The sequence below is a fragment of the Homo sapiens genome, chromosome 1, assembly GCF_000001405.40.
Source record: "Homo sapiens chromosome 1, GRCh38.p14 Primary Assembly".
NCBI classification, from domain to species: Eukaryota; Metazoa; Chordata; class Mammalia; order Primates; family Hominidae; genus Homo; species Homo sapiens.
The window spans coordinates 225,091,264-225,108,369 of NC_000001.11; the positions used below are offsets into that span (position 1 = coordinate 225,091,264).

At 37.7% G+C, this 17,106-nt stretch overlaps 1 protein-coding gene across 23 annotated transcripts in view; it reads left to right on the forward strand.

The window, feature by feature from the left end:
* The window catches only part of DNAH14 (dynein axonemal heavy chain 14), a 469,633-nt gene that overhangs the window by 161,610 nt on the left and 290,917 nt on the right, over window positions 1-17,106 (forward strand). For all 23 annotated transcript variants that reach the window (XM_011544062.3, XM_011544067.3, XM_017000296.2 and 20 more), the window contains 2 exons: window positions 5,855-5,976; window positions 9,450-9,621. In XM_011544062.3, the coding sequence (XP_011542364.1) occupies window positions 5,855-5,976; window positions 9,450-9,621 (294 nt within the window). The remainder of the gene's footprint in view (window positions 1-5,854; window positions 5,977-9,449; window positions 9,622-17,106) is intronic.

Here is a 17,106-nt window from a genome sequence, read left to right on the forward strand (position 1 = left end):
TGACCATTTCCAAGACACATAATCGTCAGATTCTCCAAGTTGGAAAAAAGGAAAAATAAAGGCAGCTAGAGAGAAGGGGCAGCTCTACAAAGGAAACCCTATCAGGTTAAGAGCAGACCTTTCAGTAGAAACCCTACAAGCCAAAAGAGATTGGGGCCTATATTCAGAATTCTTACAAAATAGAAATTCCAACCAATATTTTCATATCCAGCCAAATTAGATTTCATAAGCAAAGGAGAAATAAGATCATTTTCGGACAAGCAAATGCTGAGGGAATTTGTTACCACCAAACCTGCCTTAAAAGAGATCCTGAAGGGAGTGCTAAATAAGAAAAGGAAAGACTACTACTGATCATTAAAATACACACTTAAATACATAGACCATTGACACTATAAAGCAACTACACAATCAAGTCTGAATAATACCCGGCCAACAACACAATGACAGAATCAAATATACACATATCACTACTAACCTTGAATGTAAACAGTCTACCCCTATTAAAAGGCAAAGAGTGGCAAGTTGGATAAATAAGACCCAATAACATACTGTCTTCAAGAGACCCATCTTAACTGCAAGGACATCATAGGGTCAAAGAAAAGGATGGAGAAAAATCTACCAAGAAAACAGGAAACAGAAAAAAGCAGGGGTTGCTATTCTAATTTCAGAAAAAAGCAACTTTAAAAACCAACAAAGATCAAAAAAGACAAAGAAGGGCTTTACATAATGGTAAAGGGTTCAATTCAACAAGAAGATCTAACTATTGTAAATATATACACACCCAACACAGGAGCACCCAGATTTATAAAGCAAGTTCTTAAAGACCTAGGAAGAGACTTAGATAATGACACAATAATAGTGAGAGAATTCAATGCCCTGCTGACAGTATTAGACTATTGAGGCAGAAAATAAACAAAGATATTCAGGACCTGAACTTTACACTTGATCAAATGGACCTAATAGAAATCTACAGAACTTTTCACCCCAAAACAACAGAATCTTCTCATATGAACATGGCACATAAAACAATTCTCAGCAAATTTAAAATAGTTAAATCATACCAACCACACTCAGTCCACAGTGCAATAAAAATAGAAATCAATACTAAGAAAATTTCTCAAAACCATACAATTACATGGAAATTGAATAACCTGATCCTGAATGACTATTGGGTAAATAATGAAATTAAGAGATAAATCAAGAAATTCTTTGAAACTAATGAGAACAAATATACAACATACCAGAATCTCTGGGATACAGCTAATGCAGTGTTAACAGGGAAGTTTATAGCACTAAACTCCCACATGAAAAAGAAAGAGCTCAAATTAACAACCTAACAACACAACTAGAGGAATTAGAGAAACAAGAGCAAACCAACCCCAAAGCGAGGAGAAGATAATAAATAACCAAAATCAGAGCTGAACTGAAGGAAATTGAGATGTGGAAAGCCATACAAAAGACTGAGTTGAGGAGTTGGTAATTTGAAAAAATTAAGATACATAGACTTCTAGCTACAATCATAAGAAAAAAAAATAGAGAAGATCCAAATAAACGCAATTATAAATGACAAAGGGGACATTGCCACTGATCTGACAGAAATACAAGAAACCTTCAGAGACTACTATGAACACCGCTATGCACACAGACTAGAAACACTAGAAGAAAGAGATGAATTTCTGAGTGCATACAACCTCCAAAGACTGATCTAGGAAGAAATTGAATAATTGAACAGACCAGTAATGAGTTCCAAAATTGAATCTGTAATAAAAAGCTCAAGAATAGATCACAGCCAAATTCTACCAGATGTATAAAGGAGCTGGTACCATTCCTACTGAAATGATTCCAAAAAGTTCAGGAGGAGGGACTCCTCCCTGACTCATTCTGTGATGCCAGAATCATCCTGATACCAAAACCTGGCAGAACACAATGAAGAAAAACTTCAGGCCAATATCCTTGACAAACATGCACATAAAAATACTAGCAAACTGAACCCAGCAGCACATCAAAAAATCTAAGCCACTCTGATGAAGCAGACTTTATCCTGGGATGCAAAGTTGGTTCAACATACACAAATGAATAAATGGGATTCATTACATAAACAGAACTAAAAACAAAAATCACATGATTATCTCAATAGATGCAGAAAAAGCTTTCAATAAAATTCAACATTGCTTTATGTTAAAAACCCTCAACAAACTAGGCTTTCAAGGAACATACTTCAAAATGATAAAAGCCATATATGACAAACCCGCAGCCAACATCATACTGTATAAGCAAAAGCTGGAAGAATTCCCCTTGAAGACCAGAAGAAGACAAGGATGCCATCTCTCATCACTCCTATTCAACATAGTGCTGGAAGTTCTAGCCAGAGTAATTAGGGAAGAGAAAGAAATGAAAGACATCCAAATAGGAAAAAAGGAAGTCAAACTGTCTCTGTTTGTAGACCATATGATTCTATACCTAGAAAATGCCACAATTTCTGCACAAAAGCTCCTAGATCTGATAAACAACTTCAGCAAAGTTTCAGGATACAAAATTAATGTACAAAAATCAGTAGCATTTCTATACACCAACAACATCCAACCTGAGAGCCAAATCAAGAATGCAGTCCCATTCACAATAGTCACAAAAAGAGTATGATACTAGGAATGCAGCAAACCAGGAAAGTGAAATATCTTTACAAGAATTACAAAGCATTGCTCAAAGAAATCAGAGATGACACAAACAAAAGAGAAAACCATTCCATGCTCATGGATAGGAAGAATCAATATTACTAAAACAGCCATACTGCCCAAAGCGTTTTACAGATTCAGTGCTGTTCTTATCATGCTACCAATGACATTCTTCACAGAATTAGAAAAATGTTTTAAAATTCATATGGAACCAAAAAAGAGCCCAAATAGCCAAGTCAATACTAAGCAAAAGAACAAAGCTGGAGGCATTACATCACCTAACTTCAAACTATACTTCAAGGCTACAGTAACCAAAACAGCATGGTACTGGTACAAAAGCAGACACATAGAACAGTGGAACAGAATAGAGAGCCCAGAAATAAAGCCGCATACCTACGACCATCTGATCTTTGACAAAGTTGACAAAAACAAGGCATAGGGGAAGAATTTTATATTCTATGGAATAACTGGAATAACTGGCTAGCCATATGCAGAAGATTGAAACTGGAACCCTTCCTTTCAACATATACAAAAATCAACTAAGCATGGATTAAAGACTTAACTGTAAAACCTAAACCTGTAAAAACCCTGGAAAATAACCTAGGAAATACCATTCTAGGGGCCAAGGCAAAGATTTCATAACAAAGTCACCAAAAGCAATTGTAATGTAAACAAAAATTGACAAATGGGACCTAATTAAACTAGAAAGCTTCTGCACAGCAAAAAAAAAAAAAAAAAAAAAACAACAAAACAAACAAACAAAAAAACGCTATCAACAGAGTAAACAGACAACCTATAGCATGGGAGAAAATTTTTGCAAACTATGCGTCTGATGAAGGTATAATATCCAGAATCTATAAGGAACTTAAACACATTTACAGGCAAAAAAAAAAAAAAAAACAACCCCATTAAAAAGTGGGTAAAGGACACAAACAGACACTTTTCAAAAGAAGACATACACATGGCCAACAAGCATATGAAAAATTTCTCATCACTAATCATGAGAGAAATACAAATCAAAACCACAATAAGATACCACCTCACACCAGTCAGAATGTCCATTATTAAAAGGTCAAAAAATAACAGATGCCAGTGAGGTTGCAGAGAAAAGGGAATACTTATACATTGCTGCTGGGGATGTAAATTAGTGTGGTGATTTCTCAAAGTACCTAAAACAGAACTACCATTCAACCTAGCAATCCCATTATTGAGTATATACCCAAAGGAATATAAAATTGTTCTATCATAAAGACACATGCACGCTTATGTTCATCACAGCACTATTCACAATAGCAAAGACGTGGAATTAACCTAAATGCCCATCAACAGTAGACTGGATAAAGAAAATGTGGTACATATACCCCAAGGGATATATGCAGCCATAAAAGAAGAATGAGATCATGTTCTTTGTAGCATCTTGGATGGAGATGGAGGTCATTTTCCTAAGCAAACTAAGACAGGAACAGTAAACCAAATATTGCATGTTCTCACTCATAAATGGGAGCTAAACATTGAGTACACATGGACACGAAGAATGGAACAACAGACACCGGGGCGTACTTGAAGGTGGAGGGTGGGAGAAGGGTGAGGATAAAAAAGCTACCTATTGTGTGCTATGTTATTACCTGGGTAACAAAATAATCTGTATACCAAATCCCTGTGACACGCAATTTACTTGTATAACCTGCACATGTACTCCTGAACCTAAAAGTTATACAGAAAAAGGGAATGAACTATTGATATATGTAACAATACGGATCAATCTCAAAATAATTATGCTAAGTGAAAGAAGTCAGAGCAAAGTGAATACATGTTGTATGATTCTGTTTATATAAAATTCTGGAAAATACAAACTATAGTTTCAGAAAGTAGATCAGTGGTTGCCTGGTGGTAGGGTAGGGAGGGATAGGAGGAAGTAATTCCAACAGGACACAAAGAACACTTTCAGGGTAATGGATATGTTTGTTATCTTGATTGTGGTGATGATTTCACAGGTAGAACATGTTAAAATTCATAAAATTGTATACTTTAATTAATTAATTTATTTTTGAGATGGTGTCTTGCTTTGTCACCCAGGCTGGAGTGCCGTGGTGCAGTCTCCACCCACTGCAAACTCCACCTCCTGGGTTCAGGCATTTCCCCTGCCTCTGCCTCCGGAGTATCTGGGATTACCGGCACCGCCACCATGCCTGACTAATTTGTTGTTGTTGTTGTTGTTGTGTTTTTAGTGGAGACGGGGTTTCACCATGTTGGCCAGGCTGGTCTCAAACTCCTGACCTCAAGTGACCTGCACGCCTCAGCCTCCCAAAGTGCTGGGATTACAGGTGTGAGCCACCGTGCCTGGCCAAAATTGTATAATTTAAATATGTGCAGTTTCTTGTGTATCAGTGATACCTTAATAAAGCTATTGAAATATAAAATAAAGTTAAGAAGTAAAAAATATGGAGGTAAGTACCAGAAGTCAAATATAAATGAGTTATAAATGGTTCCCCATGAGGAACCAGAGAGTTAGGGGATGGACAAGTCCACTGGTTTCCAAATAAGCCTTTTAGTATTAATTTATTTTTAACCATTTTCCTATTACTTTAATAAGCATAGCAGTTGGAAAAAGACATTATAGGCATACAATGGAATTTCCTGAAATCATTAAAATACTGAAGAAGACGTATAAGTACTGACATAAAACCTCTCTAGAAGACATTATTTGTTATGAAATGCAAGTTATAAAACAATGTATATAATATGGTTGTATTTATATTTATGTAATACATTAAGGATATTATATGTGCATCTATATGTGAAATTATGCTTAAAGAAAGGACTGAAATAATATGCATATCACATTTCTGGTTATGTTTCCTCTGTGATAAGAAGTAGGAAATAAGTGTTAAGTGCTAGACATTCATGTTAATTTCTACATATATATGTGTGTTACTCAAATCTTTTACAAAAAGATTTGCATGTTGTATAATAAATATGACAGAAAATGGATGAACAGGACATCTTAAACCTCTCCTAAAACTAAATACAATTAGATCTGTATTCATTTATGTGACTTTCTATTAATTATTTTCTGTATGTCAATGACTGATAATCACCTTTGATCTGTTTCTGTTATGTAACTCTTAAAGAATAATTTTATATATTTAGATTTGTATGTGTATATGTTTTTATCATTGTAGGATCTTGTGAATGAATGGGATCAAAACTTGACTCTCTTCTCTTACACCCTTGAGGAATGGATGAATTGTCAAAGAAATTGGCTTTATCTTGAACCAGTCTTTCATTCTTCAGAAATACGAAGGTAAAATACCTAAAATATACCATATACAGGTTCAAAATGCATTGTGAGTAATTTATTTTCTTTAATTCTTGAGAAATCATTTCTTCAATGAACAAACTATCTTATCCTACCTACAGACATAGGGGTATAATTTGCTGAATCATTATTTTTCTTTCATAAAAGATTATGAACATCATTTTTGTAAGCCTTATTACTTGACTATTGGTATAAAAATATAAAGAGCTAAGAAAGAAGTGTTAATACATCATTATTGGCTGGGCACGTTCACTCACGCCTGTAATCTCAGCATTTTGGGAGGCTGAGGCAGGTGGATCACTTGAGGTCAGGAGTTCAAGACCAGCCTGGCCAACATGGTGAAACCCTGTCTTTACTAAACATACAAAAATAAGGTGGGCGTGGTGGTGGGCATCTGCAATCCCAGCTACTCGGGAGGCTGAGGCAGGAGAATCACTTGAACCTGGGAGGTGGAGGATGCAGTGAGCCAAGATTGTGCCACTGCACTACAGCCTGGGCGACAGAGCGAGACTCTGTATAAAAAAAAAAAAGTGTCAGATACATCATTATAATCCCAAAACTACAATATTATGTGTTTCTTTCGTTCTGGAATATTAGTGTGGTTTTGATGTGAATAATAAACATGTTTTTAGTAGCATTCATACATTAATAAGAATTTCTTAGGCTGAGTGTGGTGGCTTATGCCTGTAATCCCAACACTTTGGGAGCCCAAGATCACCTGAGCACAGGAGTTTGAGGCCATCTTGGGCAACACAGGGAAACCTCATGTCTTAAAAACAAACAAACAAAACCGCCAGGTTTAGTAGCACATGCCTGTGGTCCCACCCAGCTACTTGGGAGGTTGAGGTGAGAGGACGGCTTGGATCCAGAAGGCCATGGCTGCAATAAGCCGTGACTGCACGATGGCACTCCAGCCTGAACCATACCACAGAGAGAGACTGTTTCAAGAAAAAAAAAAAACCAATTTATTACTATTACTTTGAGCCAGATGGAAGAATAGAGGGCCTGGGCAGTTGTTAAAAAATTCTACCTTTAAAAAACACCATACCATTCAAATTCATTGACCTCTAACTTTGTAAAGTGATTGGCCTTAAGGGTGCTCAAGTTGAGACAAATAAATTAGGCAGAATTTAAACTATTGACAGCAAATCATACAAGCTAGTTTAGGAGCCATTCTGAAATAAGGTAGGAAAACATTGGGTGTGTATTTGAAAGGCCTATTATAGCAATGGAAAATCTTGAATAATATGTCAAGTATTTTGTATTTTATTTTGGAGACAAAGGGAAGCCGTTAGATTACAAAAGGGAACTGTTTAAATTTAAGTATTGCTTTGTGGGGAACAATATCCATTTGTGTTATACATGTATATTTCTTATCATATGAATGCTTGGGTTTATTCTATTTGATTGATCGGTAGTTATTCTGAAAGTTCTCAAAGGTGAAACCACATACCTAAGGTGTATGTCCTTATGGATACAACAACTTTGAGCCTTAAGTTTAAACTTTAATACTACCTTTTACTAAAGATTAGAATTCTAGGCAAGAGAGTTCAAAGTGTCACTAAATTGTTCCTTTATAGGATTTTCTGAAGTTGAAAAAGATGTTTTCAACTATGGATTCTGAAGGCATCTATCTAATAGGTCTAAAGAAAAGAAAAAGTGGGTCTATAGTGGATCTGCCTTTGAGTAATGGAGCAGGATGATGAGCCCTGATACCAGGGAGAAAGCATGAAGGAGAAGAATGGGACAAGAGATTCATTAAAGGGGCAGACTCTCTAACGGGAATATATGAGAGTATAGAATGCAGTGCCATTTACCAGAGCTCCAAACTAACTATGAGGGCTGTGCTAGGACATCCCAGAGATATTGGAAGGGTGCTTAAGAGAAGGTGAGACTGAAGTCTCCTCCTTGACAGGATTTTTGCTGAGCTACAGAAAACTTTTAGGTCCATCACGCAAGATAGAGAATGAGATAATAGTGGAAGTGGTCTTGGGAAATCTTGACATGTATTTCCCTAGAGTGTAGGGACATTAGAAACTAGCGCTTGCCTCTTCTCTGGAGAATTCTAAAGCAGCCTTTAATAACAGGGCAAGGAAGAAGTGCAGGAATACATGGTTATCTTAGACCAGTGATTTTCAACCAGCGGTAATTTTTTTACCTCTGGGAGTCATTTCACAAAGTCTGGAAACATTTTTACTTGTCACAACTGAGGGGATACTACTGGCATCTAGTGGGTATAGGCCAGGATATTGTTAAACATTCTACAATGCACCAGAACTTCTCCCTACCCCCAGCCCCCACACCAACCAGAATTATGTAGTCCAAAATGTCAACAGTGCAGAAACTGAGAAATCCTGACAGACATAGTAGGGGTTTCCAAGCTAGAGCCATCTTGAAAGATCTCCACCCAAAAATGGCAGAACAAGGGAATCCCAGAAGTATACTACTTAGAGCAGGAGCTTAAGGAATGGTTGTAAGAGGTCAGCTGGCAAGAGCCAATGAATGGTGCAATATAGAGGTTCCTGTTGGGGTACTCTGAAATCTCCAGCAATATACTTTATGGATACCTGCCATGACAGAGGGCATGCAAGAGGCAAAAGAGGATTCAAAGTAACACTAGCTGAGTGAAGAAAAAAAGTCCCTCTAAATTCCTCCCCTCTTCAACTTCAGAGCCAAGAGGAGTTTGAATCAGGTTGAGGCTAGGGTGGGAGAGGGGTGGGAAATATAGGTGAACAGAAAAAAAAGAAATAATGCAACTGTATAATTATAGAAACTATTTCTCTCATTCAATTCCAACAACAACAGAAACAAAACTAAAATTAATATATTAATGGCTTATCACATCACATGTGGGTTTTGCTTCCCTTTTCCAAAGGGAGAAAATAATGATAATCTTCTGTAAAGGAAAATTTATACACCAAGGCTGACATGGCCCTTACATTTTCTTATCCTCTAAGATGAGATAACCGTTAATAGAACTTCAGTGTTTTTATACATACCTCTGTATTCTTGCTTCTAAGCTGAATGCCCCCTCTGTCTTCTATTCACATCAAAGCTCTACTCCTTTAAAACACAGATTAAATAACGTCTTCTCCAAGAAGCTCTTGACAGATCCCATTTCTGCTCTAGATCGTCAGTAACCCTTTGTTTTATTACATTTCTTAGGACACAGATTGTTTCTACTTACCTTATGCAGAATTTCTATACATCTGTCTTCCACTGTATACTAAGTATAATCTTGTTAAATGATGGTTGTTGTGTCTAATTTATCCATTTCTTACCATGTGCATCACTTGTACATAATAGGCACTTAAAAAGTATCTTTGATGATTTATCAAGAAAATTTAACATCAAATGTTTTATAACTCAAACAGTATTCCGTGGCAATGCATTACATTATAGATTTTAATCATAGTGCCTTAAAAAAAATAAAATGACATCTAATTTTTTTTCTAAAGGCAACTCCCAGCAGAAACAGAACTTTTCTCTCAAGTGATTTCCATGTGGAAAAAAATAATGTCAAAAATACAAAACAAACAGAATGCTTTGCAGATAACCACTTCTGCAGGAGTCCTTGAAATTCTGCAAAATTGTAATATACATCTTGAACATATAAAGAAAAGCCTTGAGGTAAAACTATAGCAATTCTAAAGCAGTGAATCATTTAACAAAAGTAAAGTAAAAGTGATATAATGTAATCTACTGCAGAAGCTAATTCCAGTGCAGATTTTCTTTATTCTAGCTGCCAACAATTTTTTAAACTCTCACTACCTATAGAGTTAATAAAAATATTGTCAAAAGGAAAAGTGTATGGACTAATCTAAATGACCATTGGTAAATTATCAAACTTTTGAGTGCCCAGGTTCCCTTACCTTTTATTTTTTAAAAGAGATATCCTATCTTTTTTTTTTAATATAAGAAATGACTTCTTTCAGGAGGTTAATACTTTTTTAAAATATTGTTAGTTTTTAATTTTTGTAGATAGATAGTAGATGTATATATTTATGGGGTACATGATATATTTTAAAGCAGGCATACAATATAAAATAATCACATCAAGGTAAACGTATCCGTAGCCTCAAGCACTTATCCTTTGTGTTAAAAATAATCCAATGATAATCTTTTAGTTATTTTTAAATGTAAAATTAAATTATTGTTAGGTATGGTCACCCCATTCAGCTATCAAATACTAGACCTTATTCATTCTGTTTTTTGTACCCATCAACCACTTTTTCTCTCTCCCCCATTCTCTCCACTACTCCTCCTATCCTCTGGTTATTATCCTTCTACTGTCTATCTCCATGATTTCACTTGCTTCAAATGTTACCTCCCACAAATAAATGAGAACATATGAACTTTGTGTTTTTGTGCCTGGTTTTTTTTACTTAACATAATGACCTGCAGTTCTATCCATGTTCTTGCAGATGACAAGATCTCATTCTCTTTTATGGCCGAATAGTACTCCATTTTGTATATATACCACATTTTCTTTATCCATTCATCTGTTTACAGACACTTGGGTTGCTTCCAAATTTTGGTTATTGTGAATAGTGCTTCAATAAACACAGAGTGCAGATATGTCTTCAGTATACTGATTTCCTTTCTTTTGGGTATATACCTAACAGTGGAATTGCTGAATCTTTTTTTTTTTTAATACTTTAAGTTTTAGGGTACATGTGCACAACGTGCAGGTTAGTTACATATGTATACATGTGCCGTGTTGGTGTGCTGCACCCATTAACTCGTCATTTAACATTAGGTATATCTCCTAATGCTATCCCTCCCCCTCCCCCCACCCCACAACAGGCCCGGTGTATGATGTTCCCCTTCCTGTGTCCATGTGTTCTCATTGTTCAATTCCCACCTATGAGTGAGAACATGCGGTGTTTGGTTTTTTCTCCTTGCGATAGTTTGCTGAGAATGATGGTTTCCAGCTTCATCCATGTCCCTACAAAGGACATGAACTCATCATTTTTTATGGCTGCATAGTATTCCATGGTATATATGTGCCACATTTTCTTAATCCAGTCTATCATTGTTGGACATTTGGCTTGGTTCCAAGTCTTTGCTATTGTGAATAGTGCCACAATAAACATACGTGTGCATGTGTCTTTATCGCAGCATGATTTATAATCCTTTGGGTATATACCCAGTAATGGGATGGCTGGGTCAAATGGTATTTCTAGTTCTAGATCCCTGAGGAATCACCACACTGACTTCTACAATGGCTGAACTAGTTTACAGTCCCACCAACAGTGTAAAAGTGTTCCTATTTCTCCACATCCTCTCCAGCACCTGTTGCTTCCTGACTTTTTAATGATCGCCATTCTAACTGGTGTGAGATGGTATCTCATTGTGGTTTAGATTTGCATTTCTCTGATGGCCAGTGATGATGAGCATTTTTTCATGTGTATTTGGCTGCATAAATGTCTTCTTTTGAGAAGTGTCTGTTCATATCCTTCGCCCACTTTTTGATGGGGTTGTTTGTTTTTTTCTTGTAAATCTGACTGAGTTCATTGTAGATTCTGGATATTAGCCCTTTGTTAGATGAGTAGATTGCAAAAATTTTCTGCCATCCTGTAGGTTGCCTGTTCACTCTGATGGTATTTCTTTTGCTGTGCAGAAGCTCTTTAGTTTAATTAGATCCCATTTGTCAATTTTGGCTTTTGTTGCCATTGCTTTTGTTGTTTTAGACATGAAGTCCTTGGCCATGCCTATGTCCTGAATGGTATTGCCTAGGTTTTCTTCTAGGGTTTTTATGGTTTTAGGTCTAACATTTAAGTCTTTAATCCATCTTGAATTAATTTTTGTATGAGGTGTAAGGAACAGATCCAGTTTCAGCTTTCTACATATGGCTAGCCAGTTTTCCCAGCACCATTTATTAAATAGGGAATACTTTCCACATTGCTTGTTTTTATCAGGTTTCTCAAAGATCAGATGGTTGTAGATATGGGACATTATTTCTGAGGGCTCTGTTCTGTTCCATTGATCTATATCTCTGTTTTGGTATCAGTACCATGCTGTTTTGGTTACTATAGCCTTGTAGTATAGTTTGAAGTCAGGTAGCGTGATGCCTCCAGCTTTGTTCTTTTGGCTTAGCATTGACTTGACAATGCGGGCTCTTTTTTGGTTCCATATGAACTTTAAAGTAGTTGTTTCCAATTCTGTGAAGAAAGTCATTGGTAGCTTGATGGGGATGGCATTGAATCTATAAATTACCTTGGGCAGTATGGCCATTTTCACGATATTGATTCTTTCTACCCATGAGCATGGAATGTTCTTCCATTTGTTTGTATCCTCTTTTATTTCATTGAGCAGTGGTTTGTAGTTCTCCTTGAAGAGGTCCTTCACGTCCCTTGTAAGTTGGATTCCTAGGTATTTTATTCTCTTTGAAGCAATTGTGAATGGGAGTTCACTCATGATATGGCTCTCTGTTTGTCTGTCATTGGTGTATAAGAACGCTTGTGATTTTTGCACATTGATTTTGTATCCTGAGACTTTAATGAAGTTGCCTATCAGCTTAAGGAGATTTTGGGCTGAGACGATGGGGTTTTCTAGATATACAATCATGTCATCTGCAAACAGGGACAATTTGACTTCCTCTTTTCCTAATTGAATACCCTTTATTTCCTTCCCCTGCCTGATTGCCCTGGCCAGAACTTCCAACACTATGTTGAATAGGAGTGGTGAGAGAGGGCATCCCTGTCTTGTGCCAGTTTTCAAAGGGAATGCTTCCAGTTTTTGCCCATTCAGTGTGATAGTGGCGTGGGTTTGTCATAGCTAGCTCTTATTATTTTGAGATACGTCCCCTCAATACCTAATTTATTGAGAGTTTTTGCATGAAGCGTTGTTGAATTTTGTCAAAGGCCTTTTCTGCATCTATTGAGATAATCATATGGTTTTTGTCGTTCTGTTTATATGCTGGATTATGTTTATTGATTTCCATATGTTAAACCAGCCTTGAATCCCAGGGATGAAGCCCACTTGATCATGGTGGAGAAGCTTTTTGATGTGCTGCTGGATTCGGTTTACCAGTATTTTATTGAGGATTTTTGCATTGATGTTCATCAGGGATATTGGTCTAAAATTCTCTTTTTTTGTTGTGTCTCTGTCAGGCTTTAGTATCAGGATGATACTGGCTTCATAAAATGAGTTAGGGAGGATTCCCTCTTTTTCTATTGTTTGGAATTGTTTCAGAAGGAATGGTACCAGCTCCTCCTTGTATCTCTGGTAGAATTCGGCTGTGAATCCATCTGGTCCTGGACTTTTTTTGGTTGGTAAGCTATTAATTATTGCCTCAATTTCAGAGCCTGTTATTGGTCTATTCAGAGATTCAACTTCTTCCTGGTTTAGTCTTGGGAGGGTGTATGTGTCAAGGAATTTATCCATTTCTTCTAGATTTTCTAGTTTATTTGCATAGAGGTGTTGATAGTATTCTCTGATGGTAGTTTGTATTTCTGTGGGATAGGTGGTGATGTCCCCTTTATCATTTTTTATTGTGTCTATTTGATTCTTCTCTCTTTTCTTCTCTATTAGTCTTGCTAGCGGTCTATCAATTTTGTTGATCTTTTCAAAAAACCAGCTCCTAGATTCATTGATTTTTTGAAGGGTTTTTTATGTCTCTATGTCCTTCAGTTCTGCTCTGGTCTTAGTTATTTCTTGCCTTCTGCAAGCTTTTGAATGTGTTTGCTCTTGCTTCTCTAGTTCTTTTAATTGTGATGTTAGGGTGTCAATTTTGGATCTTTCCTGCTTTCTCTTGTGGGCATTTAGTGCTATAAATTTCCCTCGACACACTGCTTTGAATGTGTCCCATAGATTCTGGTATGTTGTGTCTTAGTTCTCATTGGTTTCAAAGAACATCTTTATTTCTACCTTCATTTCCTTATGTATCCAGTAGTCATTCAGGAGCAGGTTGTTCCTTTTCCATGTGGTTGAGCGGTTTTGAGTGAGTTTCTTAATCCTGAGTTCTAGTTTGATTGCACTGTGGTCTGAGAGACAGTTTGTTATAATTTCTGATCTTTTACATTTGCTGAGGAGAGCTTTACTTCCAACTATGTGGTCAATTTTGGAATAAGTGCAGTGTGGTGCTGAGAAGAATGTATATTCTGTTGATTTGGGGTGGAGAGTTCTGTAGATGTCTATTAGGTCCGCTTGGTGCAGAGCTGAGTTCAATTCCTGGATATCCTTGTTAACTTTCTGTCTTGTTGATCTGTCTAATGTTGACAGTGGGGTATTAAAGTCTCCCATTATTATTGTGTGGGAGTCTAAGTCTCTTTCTAAGTCTCTAAGGACTTGCTTTATGAATCTGGGTGCTCCTGTATTGGGTGCATATATATTTAGGATAGTTAGCTCTTCTTGTTGAATTGATCCTTTTACCATTTTGTAATGGCCTTCTTTGTCTCCTTTGATCTTTGTTGGTTTAAAGTCTGTTTTATCAGAGACTAAGATTGCAACGCCTGCCCTTTTTTGTTTTCCATTTGCTTGGTAGATCTTCCTCCATCCCTTTATTTTGAGCCTATGTGTGTCTCTGCACGTGAGATGGGTTTCCTGAATACAGCACACTGATGGTTCTTGACTCTTTATCCAATTTGCCAGTCTGTGTCTTTTAATTGGAGCATTTAGCCCATTTACATTTCAGGTTAATATCGTTATGTGTGAATTCAATTCTGTTATTATGATGTTAGCTGGTTATTTTGCTCTTTAGTTGATGCAGTTTCTTCCTGCATGGTCTTTACAATTTGGCATGTTTTTGCAGTGGCTGGTACCAGTTGTTCCTTTCCATGTTTAGTGCTTCCTTCAGGAGCACTTTTAGGGCAGGCCTGGTGGTGACAAAATCTCTCAGCATTTGCTTGTCTGTAAAGGATTTTATTTCTCCTTCACTTATGGAGCTTAGTTTGGCTGGATATGAAATTCTAGGTTGAAAATTCTTTTCTTTAAGAATGTTGAATATTGGCCCCCACTCTCTTCTGGCTTGCAGAGTTTCTGCCGAGAGACCAGCTGTTAGTGTGATGGGCTTCCCTTTGTGGATAACCCGACCTTTCTCTCTGGCTGCCCTTAACATTTTTTCCTTCATTTCAACTTTGGTGAATCTGACAATTATGTGTCTTGGAGTTGCTCTTCTCGAGGAGTATCTTTGTGGCGTTCTCTGTATTTGCTGAAGTTGAATGTTGGCCTGCCTTGCTAGATTGGGAAGTTCTCCTGGATAATATCCTGCAGAGTGTTTTCCAACTTGGTTCCATTCTCCCTGTTACTTTCAGGTACACCAATCAGACGTAGATTTGGTCTTTTCACATAGTCCCATATTTCTTGGAGGCTTTGTCGTTTCTTTTTATTCTTTTTTCTCTAAACTTTTCTTCTCACTTCATTTCATTCATTTGATCTTCCATCACGGATACTCTTTCTTCCAGTTGATTGAATCGGCTACTGAGGCTTGTGCATTCGTCACATAGTTCTTGTGCCTTGGTTTTCAGCTCCATCAGGTCCTTTAAGGACTTCTCTGCATTGGTTATTCTAGTTAGCCATTCATCTAATTTTTTTTCAAGGTTTTTAACTTCTTTGCCATTGGTTCTACCTTCCTCCTTTAGCTCAGAATAGTTTGATCATCTGAAACCTTCTTCTCTCAACTCGTCAAAGTCATTCTCCATCCAGCATTGTTCCGTTGCTGGTGAGGAGCTGCGTTTCTTTGGAGGAGAGGCGCTCTGATTTTTAGAGTTTCCATTTTTTCTACTCTGTTTTTTCCCTATCTTTGTGGTTTTATCTACCTTTGGTCTTTGATGGTGGTGACGTACAGATGGGGTTTTGGTGTGGATGTCCTTTCTGTTTGTTAGTTTTCCTTCTAACAGTCAGGACCCTCAGCTGCAGGTCTGTTGGAGTTTGCCGGAGGTCCACTCCAGACCCTGTTTGCCTGGGTATCAGCAGCGGAGGCTGCAGAACAGCAGATATTGGTGAACAGCAAATGTTGCTGCCTGATCATTCCTCTGGAAGTTTTGTCTCAGAGGAGTACCTGGCCGTGTGAGGTGTCAGTCTGCCCCTACTGGGGGGTGCCTCTCAGGCTACTCGGGGATCAGGGACCCACTTGAGGAGGCAGTCTGTCCATTCTCAGATCTCCAGCTGCGTACTGCTTTAGTTTTTATGAACATGTGACTGAAACTGAGTTCCTTTTACCTAACATCTGGCTTTCAACAAAAACTTATTGATATGGCTCCGATGAGTGGAGGAACACCAGGGTTCTTTGTCCTCATGCCGGCTTAGACAAAACGACATGGACATACATGGAGTGTTTTTAAGGAACCCAGAGTTTAGTAGGCAAGATAGAAGTGGGAAGAAAAAAGGAAGAAGCTCCCCTGTACGGAGACAGAGGCAGGGGCTCTCCAAAGCACAGGACAGGAACCCCACCTGCCATGGATACCGGAATTGCTGAATCTTATGGTAGCTCTATTTTTAGTTTTTTGAGGAACTTCCAAACTGTTCTCCATAGTGGTTGTACTAATTTACATTCCCACAAACAGTGTACAAGGGTTCCCTTTTCTCCATATCCTTGCCAACATTTGTTATTGCCTGTCTTTTGGAAAAAAGCCATTTTAACTGAAGTGAGATGATATCTCATTGTCACTTTGATTTGCATTTCCCTGATGATCAGTGATAATAAACACTTTTTCATATACCTGTGTGATGGTTAGTATTGAGTGTCAACTTTACTGGATTAAAGGATGCAAAGTATTGTTCCTGGGTGTGTCTGTGAGGTTGTTGCCGAAGGAGATTAACATTTGAGTCAGTGGACTGGGAGAGCCAGTCCCACCCTCAATCTGGGTAGACACCATCTAATCAGCTACCAGTGCTGCTAGGATAAAAACTGGCAGAGGAACGTGGAAGGACTAGACTGGCTGAATCTTCCAGCCTTTATCTTTCTCCCTTGCTGGATGCTTCCTGCCCTTGAACATCAGACTCCAAGTTCTTCAGCTTTTGGACTCTTGGACTTACACCAGTGGTTTGCCAGGGTTTCTCAGGCCTTCAGCCACAGACTGAAGGCTGCATTGTTGGCTTCCCTACCTTTGAGTTTTTGGGACTCTAACTGGCTTCCTTGCTCCTCAGCTTGCAGAAGGCCTATTGTGGGAC